Source organism: Homo sapiens, chromosome 9, assembly GCF_000001405.40.
Source record: "Homo sapiens chromosome 9, GRCh38.p14 Primary Assembly".
Classification (NCBI taxonomy): Eukaryota; Metazoa; Chordata; class Mammalia; order Primates; family Hominidae; genus Homo; species Homo sapiens.
The window spans coordinates 86,662,213-86,682,703 of record NC_000009.12 but is presented as its reverse complement, the minus strand read 5'-3'; the positions used below and the strand labels follow the sequence as shown (position 1 = coordinate 86,682,703).

The following is a 20,491-nucleotide window of genomic DNA, read 5'->3' as shown; positions in this document are numbered from 1 at the left end:
CACTGGAACACAAACGCCCGCATTTGTCTGTACATGGTCTATGGCTGTCTGGCACTGCAACAGCAGAGTCGAGTGGTCCAGCAGAGACCACATGGCCCAAAGCCCAACGTCTTTACTCTCTGGCCCTTTGCAGGAAAGGTTTGCCAACCGCTGGATGAGATAAATAAAAGAGATAAAAAGAGAAAGACCGAGGAGGAGAGAAAAGAGCAACATGAGAGTAAGGGGCCAATCCAGGGGCCACTTTCATTTCTGACTGTGAGACTACGTGTAAGGGGAACCTGAAGAACCAGGAAGTAACACCGGTGTCCTCAAAGAGATCAGGACAACATGGATAAACTAGGATATCCACTTGTTAATTTCTCTATGGAATGCATCATATTGTTTAAATCCAAATTAGGGACAGACTGAACATTCTTTGCAATTCCACCTATGTGCTGCAGCAGCTGACGGGAAGCCGACTTTGCCACAGCTGAAACCTTCTCTAAAAAGTACAGTAAGTCTGTGTGTGTTTGGGAGGAAGGGGTGCTTATGTGACAGATGCAGATTGCAAATGCATTTTATTTTATTTTAATTATTAGTACAAATTTGTGGGCTACGTGAGAAAATTTTTACATGTATATATAATGGGTAGTGATCATGTCAGGGCATTTGGGGTGTCCTCACCTGAGTACAATACATTTTTTATGTATAGTTATCCTGCCCTGTTATCAAACTTTAAATTTATGCTTTCTATTTTACTGGCAAACACATTTTTAAAAGGTCTGTAGTGGGGAGTGAACTGATGCAGATGACAGAGGCTTAGCTTTTTATTCTATGTGCTTCTGTAGCACTTAATTACATTCATGCCACATAATAATGTTTCAGTCAACAACAGACTGCATATTGATGATGGTCCCATAATATTACAATGGAGCTAAAAATTCCTATTGTCTAGTGACATTATAGCTGTCATAATGTGCAGCACACTACCTTTTCTGTTTAGATACACAAATACTTAACGTTGTGTTACAATTGCCCACAGTATTCCATACAGTAACAGCTTGTATGGGTTTGTAGCCTAGGTGTGTATTAGGCTATACCATCTAGGTTTGTGTAAGTAAACTTATAATGCTGACACAATCACAAAATTGCCTAATGACACATTTCTTTTTTTTTTTTTTTTTTTTTTTTTTTTTTTGAGACGGAGTCTCACTCTGTCACCAGGCTGGAGTGCAGTGGCGCAATCTCAGCTCACTGCAACCTCCGCCTCCCAGGTTCAACTGATTCTCCTACCTCAGCCTCCTAAGTAGCTGGGATTACAGGCGAACACCATCATGCCCAGCTAATTTTTGTATTTTTAGCAGAGATGGGGTTTCACCATGTTGGCCAGGATGGTCTCAATCTCTCGACCTCAAGATCCGCCTGCCTCGGCCTCCCAAAGTGCTGGGATTACAGGTGTGAGCCACCACACCCAGCCTGACACATTTCTTAGAACATATTCACACCATTAAGAAACAAATGACTGTATTACAATAAGCATTTTTAGTAATTTAATAAAACAATACAAATTGAATGTAAAAAGAAAACATATGCAACATTAAAGAATTATAATCACAAGTTTTGCATACTCAAAGATAATGAAAATCCCTATTTGACTACACAATAAAAAGGAAGTAGAAGAGGCAAATCAGGAAATGCTTTAGAAGAACATGACATTTTCAATAAGCCTTTGAGGATCAATAAGATTTGACAAGGTGAAGAGGGCATCCTATGCCAAAGAAACAAACAAAGGCACAGGGGTGCAAGGGCTCCTGCCCATGGTGAAGAAAGGATCTCCCCAGATGGTCTTCAGGCTTACTGACTTTGGAAATGGAATGTATTTGCAAGGTTGAATTAGTGGTATGGACAGATACACTTCACAAAATAATCAGCTATAAGGGAATGCTCAATTACTTGCCATCAGACATTGTAGCTTATAAGAAAAATAGAAAAAGGGAGGTAAGAACATTTCTATTATGCTAATATAGATGCTGAAGATATTGCACCATCTTGAAGAATTCTAGCCACACTTGCTTACCAATGCTTTGCAGGACAATAACCAAACGCAAATCAATGCAACAACTTTGATTTCCAAATCAATTAGCAGTCATATCTTATCTAATGCAAACAAACATGAGCAAAGCCAGCTTCCAGGTTTAATAGAAGGTTATTTTGCCTTCCTATTCACATGGTCTACCAGCACTTCTCAACCACATAACGAAATGTTGTTTCTCGGACCCTTCTCTAGGCCTGTCAGATCAGTATCTCCACAGGTGGAGACTGAAAATTTTTATTTTTATTAAGTTCCCAGGTGATATTTACAGACTAAAGTTTGAAAACCTCAATTCTAAAATTTCCACAGCCTTGTTTTATAACCTCTATGGTTAATAATCCGGCCAATGGCAAGTTGGAGCATCTGGAGACCTTGCTTCTAACTTGATCTTTCCAATCAATAGTAACTGCAAGTTATGGAATGTAAGGTCACATTCTTTCTGGCTTGTGAGTGCTCCATCAGGAGCTACATGGACTTAGAATCAGCAATGTTTCTCTTCTTTTCCAAACCTTTCTCCTACAGTTTCTAAGGAAAGTAAATGGAATAACATACATAAAGCTTTCAGCACAGGGCCTGATACTTAGGAGATGCCAATAAATGCTGGCTGGTTTCCTCCATTCAGTTCATCTCTTAAATCTCATAGTGGTTTGTCTTGAGGATTCCCAAACGAATGGTGGGGAATTATTGCAGGTCCTTAAAATGTAGCAGCAGTGAGTGACTCCAAGGCTCCCAGACTCTTAGATGCTTTTCCTCTAGGTCTACGGTTGAAGACAACACACTCTTCGTGGTACTGACAGTTAATGGCTCCTCACTTACTTCTATGCTGTCAACCTTGAGCTACTCTCTTTTCAACATTTGGTCATTGGTGGAGTCCGTGATTCCAGTGGAATCTAACCCTGAGGTCAACGCTGGGGATGAAGCAGGGATGTGAGAGCCTGGAACCTGCCTTCCCCCATTGTCCCCCCCACACCCTTCTACACGCATCAAACTGGGGCCCACCAGGGGCCCCAGTTTGGAAACCATTCTCTAAGTCTTGGAGTGTGTTGGAATCTAACTGATAGAAGAAATGAGGTATGAAAGTTATAAAAGCCCAGATTCCAGAGCATTGGAGAGAAAGCAAAGCTCCACATGAAAAAAATAATAATAACTTGTAACTACAATGCTTTCATTATAAAATGAATATTTAAAATAAAACTAACCTAATTATATTATTAATGACTTTGAGAGAAGTTCTCACTGACCTCATTGCCCTAAAACAACTGCTGCCGTTAACTACTTGGGACATTTGGAAAGATGATAAATGTCAAAAAGGACAAGTGTAGAATCATACAAAGTTGAATAAAGTTCCCAAGCATAATAGCATATCAAAGTTATGCTATAGGATGAGAGAGCTATCTCAGAGATGCTCTATCACAGAATGCAAAGAAACTGGGGCTTTCTCCCAAACCACTGGACCTCAGGATCTGAGGCTGCTTCTCCAAGTATGGCCAGGGTCCTGAAGAAGGGCAGAGGGGTAGGAAAAGGGATGGAGAGAAGGAGAAGAGGGAAGGAGACAGAGAGCCCAGTGAGAGAAGAGAACTTCAGGATGGCCAACAGAGGTGGGCTCTGCATGGGTTACCAGCCTCTCAACCAGCCTGTTTGTCATCAGCTAATTGCAAGACTTACTCTCCGGTGCAGAATTGGACTTATATACTCTCCAGTACTTATTTTTGTTTTGTGTTGTTGTTTGCTGTTGTTGTTGTTGTTGTTGTTTTGAGACAGGGTCTTGCTCTGTCACCCAGGCTGGAGTACAATGGTATGATCATAGCTCACTGCAGCCTCAAACTCCTTGGCTCAAGCAATCCTCCCACCTCAGCCTCCCTAGTAGCTGGGACTATAGGCACGTGCTACCACACCTGGTTAATTTTTTAATTTTTTTGTAGAGACGGTGTCTCACTATGTTGCCCAGGCTGGTCTCAAACTCCTGGCCTCAAGTGATACTCCCACCTCGGCCTCCAAAAGTGTTGGGATTACAGGCATGAGCCCCCACACCTGGCTCCCTCCCATACTTCAGATACTTGACTAAGAAGCTACATAATCAGTTTCACAGTCCTTTAGCAGCTCCTGGCACCTTTGGCATAAAGCCCTAATTATTTAAGGCGGCTGGTAAAGTTCTTATTAACACTTCCAGACTTGTTCCTTCCCAACCCTTTCTCCATCATCACCATTCTCCCCCTAACCTTCAACATTTACAGAACATCTTCTGTGTGTCATGCTAAAAAGACTATGTGCCCAATGCTGAAGAATCACTGGTCATCAAAATGTCCACTCAGGAATAGCCACCCTCTGACTCCTTCAAGGCCTTCACTCATGTTATCACACTGTTCCCTCCACCTGGAAATTTCTTTTCCCCTCCTCTGACTAGCTCTAATTCTTCCACCAGACAGGAGCGTAAATGTTTCTCCCTTAGGAAGACTTCCCTTAACTGTCTTAGCCTCTCTGACCAAGCTAGCTGCTTCATCCATGCTGAGGGAGCACATGCCCCTCCTCCAGACTTTATCACAAAACTTCATGCTATTACTTTCCTTTTTGGCTGGAATAGGACAAGTGGGAGAGGAGAAATTGTGTTTATGATCCAGCCTTTGTCAATGGGGGCCACCCAAGGAAATTAAGCCCTATAGAAAACGGGTGACTATTTTCTCAATCCTGTTGTTACCAGTTGAAGGTGTCCAGGTTCTCAGCGTTTTTGAACAAAAAATTGGACAAAATGCACAAGCAAAGCAAGGAAAGAATGAAGCCACAAAAGCAGAGATTTATTGAAAATGAAAGTATACTCCACAGAGTGGGAGCGGGCCTGAGCACAGGGGTTCAAGGCCCCGATTACAGAATTCTCTGGTGTTTAAATACCCTCCAGAGGTTTCCCATTGGTTACTTGGTGTGCACCCTATGTAAATGAAGTCATGGCCCACAATCAGAGGCTGAAGTGAAGTTACAAAGGTTACACCCTATGCAAGCATCTGATTGGTTGTGGAAATCAACCAATCAGAGGCTAAAATGAAGTAATAAAGTTAACTTCTATGCAAATGAAGACTTGGCCGGCAATCAGTCTGGTTGGTTGTGGAAAGCAACCAGTCAGAGGCTGAAGTGAAGTTACAAAGTTACATTCCTATGCCAACGTCTGGTGCAGAAAACAACCAATTAGAGATACTTTCCATTTTCCATCAATTAGAGATACTTTCCATTTTCTATCTGTCACAGAGAAAACGGGTGTGTGTCGGGGCGGGGCGGGGGGTGCTTTGCAAATGGAGTAGCCTCTGGTCCTTTTGTTACTTAGGTGTGGGAAGTTGGGGTTTTCCTTTTGATTTAGTTCTAAGAAGTCAGCTCAAATCGGCCTTAGGTTCCCTGCCTCCAGACCCTATTCTCTTGCTTCACTCCCACGGATACCATGTAGCTAGCATCTTTCTAGATGGGTAGGAAAAACATTAAGATATACTATAGATGCCTTGGGCATTAGGGTTCAATTCTCTCAGAGAACCCCATGGAGAAGGGCCAGCTATCCACCCACATGGTGTTTGACACACGGTAGCTCTCAGTCAATGTGTGTTTAGTTCAACTAAATGACTAAGGTCTCCAGGTTTGGGGGCAAGGAGAAGGATTCACTGTGTCCTCACCAGTTTATAGGAATAAAACTGGCAAGGAAAAGAAGAGCTAAGCTTTAAAATGCTGGATAGCCTAAATGAGCTGTGATTCTTTCAGCACCAAAGATGCATTATGTCCACAGGTTCCAGGCCTGAATGACTTCTCACCTCGCCTTCATTCACTGTCAGCTTTTACTGACTAGGTGCTTTTATGACTTTCCCTTGCAGATACCCCTGTTTCTAATTAGAGCCAGGGGCCTGACCCCTGGAGAGCTGATAACAATTTTGCCCTTCGATGTACCTTATTGGCTAACTGGAAAAGGCAGGTTAATGGTGTCTGCATGGAAGGTATATTATTAGAAGTGAGTCTGTGAAGCAAACTCCCCGTGACTCTAATCTTCAGAATGCTGACTCCTGAGGTCAGTAATTGGGCACCACAGAATTCACTGGAGCAGCAGGCCTAAGCCTGTCTTCAGACCTCTTTGAAATGCAGTTCCTGAGGTCAGAGAAATAATTGCTTCATTTGAAGGGGGTGGAAAGAGATGAGAGGAGAAGAAACAACCTTCATTATTTCTCCAATTTATCAATGCACCATGTTCTCAATATCCTGGTCTAATTAAAATAACACAGGCTGCTTGAGAAACTCAATCATTTCCACAGTGATTCTTGTCAGTTTGCTCCTCCTGCCAGCTCAGAGATGCCTAATGGCAGATAAGCCTGAAGCCCGAGACCCCCTCGCTTAGCCATTAATTCAGCGACCAGGGTGCCATGATGCTCATTAAAGTTCTTTACCCCTGTTATATGAAAACTCTTAATTAACAGGGAGGATATTTTAATGTCAATGCTTTGCAACTTTCCAAAGAGAAATGCCAATGTAATCAACCTAAACCCTTGACCACCCCTACCAAGGCGAATCTGCCCTTCTTCTCAAACCCCAGGGACTGATTCTGGACTCCGTACGCCATCAGAAGAGACTCTGCATGCCTGGTATTGGCTCTCAGGGAAGGGCTCGAAAAATGACTCAGAGTTCAGCCACTGTATTGCAACCCTGGTAATCTGAGAAAAGTTCCAGGCAAGATCCTGAGATCCACCTTTTGTGTTCAAATGCCATTAAAAAAAAAAAGGCACGAAGAAAAGGGAATGTTGCTCTGTTGCTCCTCTTTCAACTGACTCTGCACATCTCCTGTAGGCCAGACTTAATTCAGCCTCACAGAAAAAGAAAAAGACAAAAATTAGTGCAAAAGGGATGTGAAAGGAATAAACAAAAATTCACACGTTGGGCAAAAAAAGAAGCAGGGGAAAAGTTAAAGAAAAAAAAAAGACTCAATCCTGCAATTGCACCAACAGTATCAAGTTCTCCGGTCCCTGCAGGAGACCCTGCATGCATCCTGCAGGAGCCCTGGCCTGGCCCTGGATGGCTCAGTGTACAGCACAGAGGATCCACTGCAGAGGCAAGGGGGCGACCTCTGGCCTGGTCACCTCAGGGACCTGCACCATGGATCTTTAATCCAAGCAGCTTTGGAGGCTGGCCTCTGATTATAGCTTCCATACCCATGCAAGCTCCCCTCTGCTGTGGCTCCCCACATTTCCAGTATGTTCCCAGATTGCCACTCTCAGAGCCAGAGCTGAGTGCTTTGTAAGACATCAGGTCCTTTGAGTTCCTGCTCCTTCTGTATCTGACCCAGAATCTATCCGACCAGCCACTGAGATGGCTCTTGTGACTGGCCTTGCTTGCTGATGAACCATTAGCCCTGGTAGGGCAGAAGATCTCACTTTTGGCAGCAGCCAGCATGCTTAAGTGGTGGGAAAATAAGTTAAGAGATGACATGAAAGGAAGGGTTGTGGATATAAACCAGCTTCATCTGACATAAGAAAATATTTTAAAATAGAAGCCGCTTTTCTTCCTGTACCCTAATATGCAAGTGTTATAAGTGTTATTAAAGTAATTTTAAAGATTGTTTAAAATTTTCCTCTCTTGTTTAGCTTAATTGCAAGGCAGATGCAAATGTCCCCTCTTGCTCATCAGGTCACAGCAGAAAAGTATTAGAAAGGAATATATCAAAGCTCAGAGGCTGGAATTTTAAAAATGAGATTCAGATGTGTCTATAAATATGACAGGGAGATGCAAGGAGACCCTTGAAGCCAGTGTGGGCAAAGCATGCCTGGAATTTGGTCTGTGACCTCACCTGGCCATTTGCTTCATTAAATCTCCTGCTTTCGGGCACACATGGGTCTGGGGGTCAGCTGGTATGTTTTCATCCCATTTACAATATGCAATATTGTTTGCTCGCCTTAGGGGCTGCTGAGCCTTCTGCCTCCTGCTCAAGTGTCATGACTCAACCAAACTGAAGAGGCAGGAAACAGAGCTGGATGGATCACTGGTTTGATCTCATGACAAAAATCCCTTGTTGTGACTTCTTTCAGAGGCAGGAGATTGTTGGAGGCTGGGAGGAGGGGGCATGAGGTAGAGTCAGAAAAGGCCAGGAGATTAGTATTTACTATGCTTCCAGGCTTGTCTCCTGCTCCTGTATGCCACCTGCACATCCCCACACCTATCCCGCTTCTGCATGCCACCTGCATATCCACACACTTATCCTGCTCCTGTATATCACCTGCACATCTGCATACCTATCCTGCTCCTGCATGCTACCTAAATGTATACTCATCTCTCCAGAGTGAATTTGAAAAAGTGCCCAGGAGTGAAACGCAAGGAGATGGCATAAAAAAAAACCCAGCAGGTATTCTGGAGGAAGATGATTCTAGGTTCAATACATGGGTCTTCCCCTCATTCGTGAGCTGTGCTTAGCCAAGTGATTTGGCTTTTCTGTGCCTTGGTTTTCTCATCTGTAAAATAGGAATAATAATATTCATGTGTCATAATTTCCAAAAGGAACAAATACAAAAACATAGGCAAAGGGCTTGGCATGGACAATTGTTTGATTATTTTCTTTCCTTCTCCATATCATCTACTATAGAATCATCAACTGTGGGGCAAGAGAAGACCTGAGAAATATAACTATTCTCTTAGCAACAGGGAGCAACAGAAGCAAGATGAAAGATGATGAAATCAAGCCTCTTTAGCCTAAGAACCACTAGCAGTGAGAAGAGAGGTTTGGGGTGAGAAAGCAGATGCATGGAACACTGGCCCATTTACTTCCAAAAATATTAAATCCCTTTTCACAACTGATCACTCAACTGAGCGATTAAGGTGCTCACTATCTGTTGGAGTTTGTTTTCCAAAAAGCCTGAGCACTCATGGAAGTACCTTATGGGAACTTCCTTAGGGATGACCTTGCTTAATAGGTAAACCTGCTTAATCGCCAACCAACAGGCTCATCCTCTATGGGTCCCAGGAGTCCCCCTTCCTGTGTCATAGCCTGTCACCATGTCACAAAGTCCGGCTCTCCTATCTTCTTTCTGGAGGTGCAGACTTTTGCCATGAGGTCCCTGAGACGGGGAGAGAGAGAGAGAGAGAGAATAAGAGGCCCCACTCACTCAGGCTATGGCCCAGCTCTTGCTTCATCCCATGCCAAAGAGCACTTTCTTCCCAGGATGATCAGCCCTAAGGGTCTCCATTCACTTATCACTCCTTCTTGGCCCAAGGGCACTTAGCAATCACTAATTATACTAGTCCAACTTCAGTATGTTCAGGAATACTTATTTTCATGCATGCCTACATGTAGTCCAGTTTGTTCTTATACATTATCCTCCTGCGCAAGTGAAGGATACACTGCATAAACTTCCTGAAGTCCTCTCCATCTCAGCTCTGGGTTTCCTGAACATAACCACTCCAAAAAGAACCCACACCATTTCCTGAGAACAGACAACAGAGACTTCTCAAGTTTCATGACTGCAGTGGGATTGGCAGTTGGGGTGTTTTCCTTCCCTTTCCTTTTATTCCAGCTACATAGAAGACAGAAGACTTTTTCCATGCAGCGCTCTGCTGGTTTATAGGACACAGAGAGTGTGGGGGACAGGTCTTGATAGCCTTCTTTAACATGCCTCCCCTAAACTACTTTATCTCCCATTTGAAGGAGAAAAGTGAAGAAAAAATAACCTTTCTTCAGAATCTAAGTTATCCATCTTTATAAGTGTTATAAATGGGGCAGAAATTGACAGTGGAAAAGCCAAAATGGAAGTATTTAAAAGTACCTTCCCACACTCTATTGTGTACTACACTCTGGAGATACTATGTTTTGTCCGAGAACCACCACCTCCAAGAAGGAGCTGTTTGTGCCCCACAGATGGACTGTCTCCTTTATGGAATCCTGAATGCCATATGTGTCAGAGAGCCAGACCCAAATTCACAAAAAATTATCGGTGGATTTAGGCTCTTCAAGTCCGGACCATCTCCCTTCGACCTGCATCTCGTGGGCAGGCCTTCGGACTGCAGTTAGGTTTAGATTTATAGAGGCTTTTTCAAGATGTGTCAGGATTTTTCTTGGGTTTCCTTTTCAAATAAATCCTCCAGCCTTGAGTCCTCTGTGTCTGAGTCGGCTCAACTAAAAGCATATTCATTTCTGTGGGAATGTTAGAACGAAGAAGGAGGGGTGGAGTTCGGGGTGGATTTTTCTTTCTACTCACAGCTGCCTCTAATCTCAGAATCCGAATCCCCAAAGCTGATAGATCATCATTCAAGTTGGTTGAATCCAGGGCATCTTGGCAACATTTCAGATCTTTTGGCTGGCAGAAGTTGTAAGTTCTCTCATGATCACTGGGGTTTGATACCACCTTAAACAATCTTTTAGATGAATCATTTAAATTAAAATAAACTGAAATAAAATATTTCAGTGACTTAAAAAAAGAAATCATGTTTACATCCTCTTCTTCCTACCACGGTTCAAAAGAAGAACTTTAAAGGTTTCTTGCTTGAAGTAGCCCTCTGGGTGAGCCTTTAAGCAGTCATGCAGTGCAAAATGAATTCTGCAAGATCTTGCATAGTATGTTGAGTATAAAATATAAATTTTTTGGAAATCATCACTGATTATAGATGCATAACATTATCTTGCTTGACTGGCAGAGTGATATTTGGTGATAGAATACACCCTATTTTTGGAAATAAAAATTCTCTCAGAAATACTAATCATTTTCTCAAACATTTTTCCTGTCCCAAAACACCTGATAAGACACATTCTCTTCAGTTATAGGAGCTGGCATGGATTGGGGATAAAGGAGAAAGTGGGTGTTCCATAAAGGAGGTAATAGGCTCTGCCTATCATAACCTGCCAGGAAGACAAGGCAGTTTTCAAAAGCCCCAGAGGACAAGGGGATGTGCCCATCTATCCTCCCCAGCAGCTCTTCCTTCCTGCCTTTGTATAAAACACAAAGTGAAAATATTCACTGCCCCCAAAACAACTAAACAACAAAAGGCTTCTGAGGCATCTACCACTTACAACAGACCCTTAAAATGATCATTTACCCAACCATGACACATTTACTAGGAAGGGCTGCAAAAAGTCCTTCACACCACCCCATTAAGGAATATAACATAATATATACATCTTAGTATAACTGGACAGTAATTATTATGGTTCTGCATGTGCTATTAAATTTAAAATATATTTGCTACTTATCTGTTAGTGATTACAGTTTATATTTATAAAGCTAGTTTAACAGCTTCTTCTAAGAATATATACAATTTTTTTCTTTTCACTACCACTTTTTCATTTGTTTCCCTTACATGCATCCTCTATCATTTAACCAAATTTGCATGTAAAACTGTTAGACAAGGAAAAGTGAAATGTTTTACTCCCACTATTTTCTCAGAGTATCCTAAACACAATAAACATAAATGGCCTAGATTTTTTTAAAAATGTAGAATATGAATATAATAAATCATCCATTGCTTAATAGTTTTCATTTAAATAACTTGGAAATAGTTTTATGCTGCCTCCTACCCTCCCTTTACTCCAGAGAGAAAAAAATAAAAGCAAATAAAATACTAATCATGGCTGTTAAGAGTACAATATACAGTCAGCCGAACCCCCTAGAGTGTGAATCAGTAAGTTTAAGTCAAGTAATCAAGTTTGCAGAAGATTTCCCAAATTAAAAGTTTGACTTAGACCTTTTATTTCTGAAGAGACTTATTTCCTGTTCTCATCTTATTTCTTAAGCTACCACCAGAAAAGAAGTTGAAGGAGTCTGTGAGAGAATTTCCACTCTACCCCAAATAGCACAGTTTTGGGGTAGCCTCATTGTCGACGTGCTTGAAGCTGCATAACCAGGGAGGAAGCATAGTATCCACTCATGTGTTTGTCATTGAGAGGAAAACTAGTTCCATATGTCCGCACACACACACCTCATTTTGTGTCTCGCCTTCAGACAAGTAACATCACATAGCAATGTCAAGGAAACAAGGACATAGCAGTCTGGTTTTACTTAAACCTATGTACAAGAAAAAATACATTTAGATGACCTATCCAAAAGGTGTTTTGACTTTATTCCAAGTGGCCAATAGAACTTGTGTGAAACAAGTCAATTTTGTATCCCCTAAAAAATATGAACCATTAATATTTTCAATTATAAGATTTGTTTTAATCAAGTGTTCAAATAAATCTCCAAGGAGTTTTCTCCCTTCTTTCCTAGGTTAAAAAAATCATGCGTCCAAGAAGAGAAAAAGAATACTGTTGAATTCACTATTGAAGTTTAGAAATGAGAAGAAAGGGATGATGTGCTGCAGGGGGAGAGCTGAGAAGGAATGCCATTAGAACAGAAAGAGGAATTTGGATACAAGTACTGGAAGTCATATAGCAATTTGGGAGCAGGGTTCTTAAACACACATGCACATAGACACACATATACAACCCTATTTAGCAACCTGTCGGGATTTCTCCATGAGATTCTTATTCTCGCAGCTCTCAGGCTAGGCCCCATTATAGGAACTGATCATAATTCATCTACTTCAAGCCTATTTATATGATTTGCACAAGTTCACAAAAACTTTGCCAATTTGCCTGTGAAATGCACATGTCAATTACCCTTCAATGGTTCAACAACCCAGGACCCTGAGCCCACTGGCATTTCACAGAGCACTGAGAGACTTTGTCTTCAGTCCACCCCAAAGTACCCCAGCCCTGCCATCAATAATAACACAAATGAGTTTCCTCAGAGTCAGACCAGGAGTGTCAGCAGTGAATTGTTGGGGAGATCTGGGAACTCCCCATGGCTCCATGGGTGTTCCTGAATTTCACTCTCCAGGCTATCACTTTTTCCAAGTTTCTTTATTGCTCCATTACCAGGAAAAAAACAGGGTGTTAAAAAGAGCCAGGCTGCTCTCACACCCCAAATGACCTGTAGCAGAGTCAGCAACAGGCCAAAACATGCACAAGAGTGAAGACGTTTTTCTTCCCCAGATTTCTCCCTGCTGCTTGTGAAGTTGGAAGCACTGTTGCTGGCTCAGCGGGAAGAGGCAACAGTTGTCTTGTGCACCTGTGCCCTAAATCTCCTCTACTGGTGATGAGCCCTTTACATCTCCAGGGATGCAATTTCCCCTCCCTCAAGTTTCTCCCTTCCAATAGAACTTGTGTGTATGAAAGCTGAATTAACCACATTCCGACTTCAGGAATGCAACGGTCTCTTTCAAAATGTTTCCAAAACAAGGGAGCAATGGCAGCTATTAATCCAAGAACTTAGATCCAACAATTCTCTCCAAAAATACAAAATAACAATTTTCAGCCCAGCAAGAATGTATGACAAGTAAATTGATTTATGAAAATGCATTAGCATTTTACACAGAAAAAAATAAAGATTTCTTAAAGATAAACTGTATTACTTGCAAGCTGCTTGCTTTCAGCCAACTATATAGGAAAATTGCCATGGATTCGCATTTTATAACTGAATATGATATATTAAAGTAGAATTTAATTATAATTAGATATATAGCATTAAATTAAGGCTAGAATTCATTAATTAATATATTATGGCTAATAATTTTAATCATATTTAAAAAGTTATTCAAAGGCATAATATTATTATTGTTGGTTCATTTCACTACTGATCTCCACCTATGGCCTTACCAAATACAGAGATGGCGATGTAAAATTAAAGCATCCTAGTTAGAAGCCACAAAATAAATGTCCCACATGGCCATATACCCATTTTGATTCTTTTTATATATAAATCTAATTTGATTTTGGATGTTGGGCTTTATTGTCCATGTTTTATTATAAAATTTTAACTAACATGATACTGACAAAACTTTTTCTTCTTAGCTGTAGATTGATTTGATCAGCTAAAAGGAAAGTGGAGGAGTGAATCCTTGGGTTTAAATTGTGAGGAAGTGAGGCACAGTCATTACAAGACAGCTAGGGTGGAACATTACCAGCTGTAGCTGTGTGACTTCAGGCCAGTTACCACACTGTTACTCACTTTCCTAATCTATACAGTGGGAATAAAAATAGTATATCTCTCAGAAAGTTTTAGTAATGATTTCACAAATTAATATATATAAAGTTCTTAGAACAGGAAATACATAGCAAGCACACAGTAAATCCTAACTCCTTTTGTAACTTACCAGAATTTTCAACCTCTTACTGGATTTTTCTATTTGACTGCACCTCCAGGTCAACACATCTAAAAAGGCATTGTTCCTTTTCTCTTCAGGGCAGCTCCCCTCCCAGCTTCCTGGGAAATATAGCTCAGGGCAGTGCTGCTGCCCCCATTCGATAACCATAGAAGTGTCACCAACTCATTCAAGCTGTCACCAAACCTCTTGATTCTTCCTACAACACTGGTTGCCTATGTCAACTCCTCTCCATTCCAGCCTCCACCTTCCAATGGAGACCCTCATTACTGCCAACCTCAGTATCCCCACAACTTTCTTGGGAGCTCCTCACCCCCAGGAATGCTGTCTTCCTGTTTCTCAAAACAATGTCAGCTGCATCTTCTTGAAATGCCACTGCCATGGTGTCGCCTTCAATCTTGATTCTGGCATAAGGGCCCTCTGCAGTCTGTCCCCAAATGACCTTCCAACTTTGGCTCTCATCATTCCTCTGAGCCAATCTATTCCGACAGGCTACTCATCCAACACCTGGGCTATTGTGGAGCATCAGGTGCAAGAAGCAGAGCCTCTCTCGAGGTGACCTCAGTCAATGGAGGCATAGAATGGGCAGCCATGGGTAGGGAATGTACCTGGTTCTGTGTACCAGAAATACAAGGTCAGGACACCATCTCAGCACCAATGCTGCTTTGCTTCACAAAGAGGCTAGAGAAAATGTCAGTACTGAAGACATACTTATATTGAAAAATCATTCGTTGTTTGTCTGAAATATAAATTTACCTGGACATTCCATTTTATTTTGTTCTTGGGTGGTGGTTGTTCTGCTTCAGCATTTTGTGTTTGCTAAATCTAGCAACCCCACCACACAGACAACCAGGAGGACATTAAGGTCTTTGGTTTACAACAGCAGCCTCAGTGTCCCAACAAAAGAAATTACACTGTCCAATGCCTGCAGGAGCTGGGTAGGCAGTGTGAATGTGTGCAGCAGGGCCTGTGTGGGATGACGCATGATGACTCACACTCATCTCAATTGTGGGGGTCCCCCCGGGGAGCAGTGGACATGTAATACACTGGTGTGCACTACACACGCTCCATCTAAAGTGAGTAGTTCCTACTCACCTCTAGCTATTGCTGCAATCAGGGATGTGGCAGAAATATTCCAAAATTTCCCACGTTTGAGATCTTCATATTTGAAAACCTTTGATATTTCAATGCTGGCAACTAATTTAATAATAAAATATTGTTCTGGCAACCCTATGTGGATGGACCAAAAAAGGGACACATTGGCCACCCCAACCAACCACCCTGCGGGTTGCGACCTCTGCTTTGCAGCAACAATGGAGGTCAGTCCTCAACTGAGGATAGGTGTCCTGTGCCCCAGCCCCAGCCTTCATTATGGTGGCTCAGCTGCACTTCTGCTCTTGACCAACTGGCTCTCTTGGTGCATCTTGATTTGAACTCTTTGAAAGACAGGACCTGATTGGGCTGGTCAGTCACCTTCCAGCATGCATCAGTCTTAGTCAGACTCTCCTAGGTCTTTGGCCAGCCTAGGGAAGGGTGCTGTCTAGTCTAATCCACCGTGCCCTGCATTATAAGGTCCAGACAGTTCCTCTTTCCACCGTCTTCTGTCCTACCACAAAGCCCTCCTACATGCCCCCTCTGAAGTCATGCCTCCCTCTCCTTCACCACCAAATTCACACCTTTACACACTTCAGATCTCAGCTCAGTGCCACTTCCTCACAGACTCCTTTCCTGGACTCTTTGAAGAGGTAAAACGCCATCACTATAAGACCTGAGAGCACCCTGCAGCCAAGGTTGCTACTCAAAACCTTGACTGGTACTGTGCAGATATTGACCAACCAGAACCTAGGCCCCATTAGAATGGATGCTGGGACAAGATCATGGAGGCTTCCTTCTGGACCAGGAATTAACCACTTAGTACTAACACACAGGTAGGGGGAGCAGTCCCAGGGGTACTGGAGACAGGGCTTGAAGGGTCCAGGACACAGGGGATTGGGCGCTCTGGGAGCCCATGGCAACAGCTCTACAGCTGTATAACACCCCTCCCCAAAACTCCGTAGCTTTAAACAATTGATTCTTTCTCACAATTTTTCAGTCTGGACTGGCTTCAGCGGGGTGATCTTCCTGCTCCCCGTGTGTTTACTGGGGCAGGAATGTCCAAGATGGCTTCTCCAATCACGTGCCTGGTGTCTCAGCTGGGGTGGCTGAAGAGTGGAGACATGGCTGGGCATTGCTGCCTCCATAGAGCCTGTCCCTCAGACCAGCTTGGTTTCTTCACACCACGGTGGTCTCTGGATAGTTGGGCTTTTCATATGGCCAATGGCTTCTAAGAGGGTAGAAATAGATCTGCCCGTTCTCTTAAGGCTTTGGCTCAGAAGTCTCAGTGTCCCTCCAGTACGCTGCTCAAAGCAATTCCCAAGGCCAGTCCTGATTCAAGGGAGGGAAAAGACTTCACCTCTTGAGGGGCAGAACAGCATTGTGTGTACAGAGGGAAGGAAAGTGAAGGACGGCAGAATACACATCAGCCATGTATGTCCCTCTCCTTTGGGTCACTGTTGCAATTTTACATTTGTTTGTGATTTATTTGAGAAGAGTCTCCCAGATGGCAGGGACCGTGACTACACATGCTCACTGCTGTATCTCTCGTGTCTAGCATGGTGTTGATCACATTGCAGAATTTAAAATGCATTTGTTGAATGAATGAATATCCCCTTCAAGATGCAGTAGCCACAGTCACATTGAACTGCTTCAGAGACTGAAATGCTTCCATTTTTGTGTGGTGAAAGTTTGATAAAGGGTTTTTAGAGGGAGTGGGATACAGAAAGCTTTGATTCAGCGTTCTTGCTGGCAGAAGACCTAGTTTTGCTTGAAGGCTCTAGAATGCATATTTTGGCACTGGATCCCAGATGTCTGTGGGAGGCCTTAGGGTGGGGGAGAACTGAAGTGAGAGAAAAGGACTTAATACAATAGGATTCCCCCCATGCCTCCCCTGTTTTATGGATGTTCTTAGCACCCAGCACAGATTTCCTACAACTGATAAAATCATCAATAACAGGAACCACCCACCAAGACTTGCTGGAGCAACCGCCCAGGAAGGCTCTCCTTAAGCAAGAATTAAGAACTTCCTCAAGTTTGGGATGCTTAGTGTGGGGTAAAGGTTGTATTTGGGAGGCAGCCTGGGGTAAAGAAAAGAACAGAGCGTCAGAAAAACTGGGTTTCTTTCCAGCTTTCCCATGCACTAAGGAATAGCCCTGAATAAGGCACTTCTCCTAGCACCAAATCACCTTCCGAAATCCTTTGAGGGCTCAGCCAGCTTCAGGTCTAACGCTCTCCTGACGCACTTAGTTAAGCCATGCTCTGTCTTGTAATGGGATATAAAAAATCCCACCCTTCCAACCTCTTTGCTCCCATCGGTAATGCCCCATCTTCCTGCCGATCCAACCTGGAACAGTGAGACTTGTCATTGATTGAGTCACTCTCTCATCTGCCACATCCACTCACTCCCCAGGTGTTGAGATGCTTGCCTCCTGGGTCTCCTACCTCCCACATCCATTCCAGGCCTGCTGCCTCTCCCCTGTCCAGGTCTTCCTGGATCGCAGACATGGCTTGGTTCCTGCCATCCCTGATTCCAGACACCCTTGCCAGAGGGCGATCAGGATGAAGCTCCTGAGGTTGGAGTTCCAAGCGCACTCACTTGCCTGGGCTCCTTTCCAAGGCCCAGGAAGAGGCGAGCATTTCACTGACAAGGTTACATGTTTGTGTAAGATATTTTAACCACCGTGGTTGTGACCCCTGTCATTTTTCACCCGTTTCCCTCATGTTGAATGGCGGTGGGGTGTCTGCAGGTCTTTTATGATATGCTCATAAAGGGAAGTGGAGTTGGTGATACATTCAGTTCGGGTTCAGTGGAACATGTTTGTGTGGTTTACTTAAAGGTGCCCGCATTGGTTGAAAGCAAATAGTGAGGTTTAGAAACTGTTTTGATTATACTCAGAACATTTTGGGGAATAAAAAGCAGTAATGCAAAGAAATTATAAATGTTTGAGATGATGGATATGCTAATTACCCTGCTCTGATCACTATGCAGTGTATGTATTGAAACATCACTATATACCCTATAAATATGGACAATTATGGGTCAAAAATAAATAAAAATTTAAAATAAATAAAATTAAACTGTATCTCCTAAAAAAACCCCTGAAAACTCACATGTATTCCTACATTTAAATCAACTCTACATAATAACAAATAAATAAATACAAAACAGTAATACATTAGGAAGAAAAGACAGATTTTGAATAAAAGTGATAAATAGGCTCTTGGATTATTTGATAATTTGATTAATAATTTGAATCATGTGGACACAACGGAAACAATTTTAATTTCTTGCTGATTTGGCACAAAATACCAATGTCAACAAGTTTAGCCCAAACCTCATAATACACATTACAGTGAGGACATTGACGATCAAATGTTTGATGAGTGTAATGATTGAAAAGAGTATTTGAGATTAGTCAACACATAAGACAGCTTGAAATCTGAGAGCTCTTACAAACTCATGTATGAAAGAAGCTGGATGGAGGTTTGTGCAACGTTAGCAACAACCCTAAATCTTTACCTCACCTTACCCCCAGGAAGGCATCAGGCTGAAAGGAACTTTCTTAAACCATCAATTTTTTTTATTTGATTTACCATGTCAAGGAAAAACTGAATTATATTTCTATCATGATATAGAAGATGATATGCAAAATCACTGTCATGTGAAGAGACTTTTAAAGACTATATAGCCCCTGCCTCAAATAAAAAGCAGGAAAAAAGTCATAGGAATACCCCAGGCAATTATTTGAAAAGTCATTTTACATCTTTAGATTTTTTATGACATTTTACCATTTTTTTATTTTGTAATTTGTTACGGTTTCCTTTCTCAGTCTATGAAAATATTCTTTTTTCATTCCTAATTTTGCATTTATAAGTTTGTATGCCTTTTCTTAAAGAGGACCCTAAAATACATGAGCAGCGAGCCATATAAAACCTGAGCTACCTTGCCAATAGTCAATTCCCCTTCCTTTCTCCTAAGAGAATACAAATGTATTCAGGGACCCACTTTCTTCTGTCTGACCTTGGGTTTCAAGGGAGGTGGTTCCAGCTGTACTCCCATAGGACCCCATTCCCCTTCCAGTAACTGTTTTAGGCATACACATGTGGTGTAACTCTGGGCGATGAATAGGAAGAAAAGTCTACTGGGGGAGTTGGTGAAAGGTTTGCTTCTTTGATTAAAGCTTTATATTTTTCATTTTTGTTTTAAAAGCCACCCAGGGTGGAGTGCCCTATCTTTGTCATCTGGACTTTGTTGTGTTTGGATGTGATTTCTGGAATCATAGCAGCCATCTTGTGACAGGGAGGACAGCCAGCCTCAGAACAAGCCAACCAGCAGAGAATGATGGAGGGAAAAGAGCCAGCCCCAGCCCCACATTCAGACTTCTGTGTGAAGTAACGATATGTTTTCTTTTTCTTAAAGCCAGTTGAGTCAAAGTTTCTATTACTTGTATCTCAAAGCTTCTCAATGGATACACTTTCTCTCAAAGCTCTCCATTGCCTCTGACAACCCTCTTGGGGTGATTTTTTTTTGCACAGTTAAAATAAAGGGATGATCAGAGAATGATTTCACAAATCACATGGTTTGCCATACAAAGACAAAGTTTTGCTTTCATTCATAAAGCTTAAGAGGAGAGTAACAAGGACAAATCTCATTGAAAATATACTCAATAGACTTTATTGTGTACCATTATTTTGTACATGGTATACGTTGCATACTGTACTGTATATATAGTGTGCAGTGTACATTATTGTGTACTATTAATGTGGTACAGTAACCACGTAGCTTCAATTTTGTTAGAGTCCAATTATTAAAGTCTGGTTGCTCAATGACGATAGATGCAAGCCTCGGTGGAATGTAAGTCTAATTAAAGTTTGAGGTGTAGCTTTATACAAGAGGTTCTTGGAAGAGAAGGCTCAATCAACACAGTGAACAACACAGTGAAGATCTATAATGACATGCAAGAATGCTTAGTGCTTGAGAGGTGCTAGTGTAGGCTGGTGAGGCTCCAGAGATCAGCTCCAAAGCCAATAGGGTGTGGCCCTGCCGTAGCCTGAGCTCTCAGATTTTAAAGAGGCGGCTGACGGAGTGCACCCTGCCACAACCTAAGCTCCCAAAGTCTCTGTCAAACTCTTAGGTTTATATGTATGATGGAGTCCAGTGGTTGAGATCAGTAACTCACATATGGA

General features: G+C 42.3%; 1 long non-coding RNA gene across 1 annotated transcript in view; it reads left to right on the top strand.

Moving 5' to 3' along the window:
* LINC02834 (long intergenic non-protein coding RNA 2834) overlaps nucleotides 1–13,432 on the top strand; it is a 39,034-nt gene extending 25,602 nt beyond the window's left edge. The window contains exon 3 of the long non-coding RNA XR_930070.3: nucleotides 12,274–13,432. This is a non-coding gene — a long non-coding RNA (long intergenic non-protein coding RNA 2834). The remainder of the gene's footprint in view (nucleotides 1–12,273) is intronic.
* Nucleotides 13,433–20,491: the final 7,059 nt, after the last annotated feature.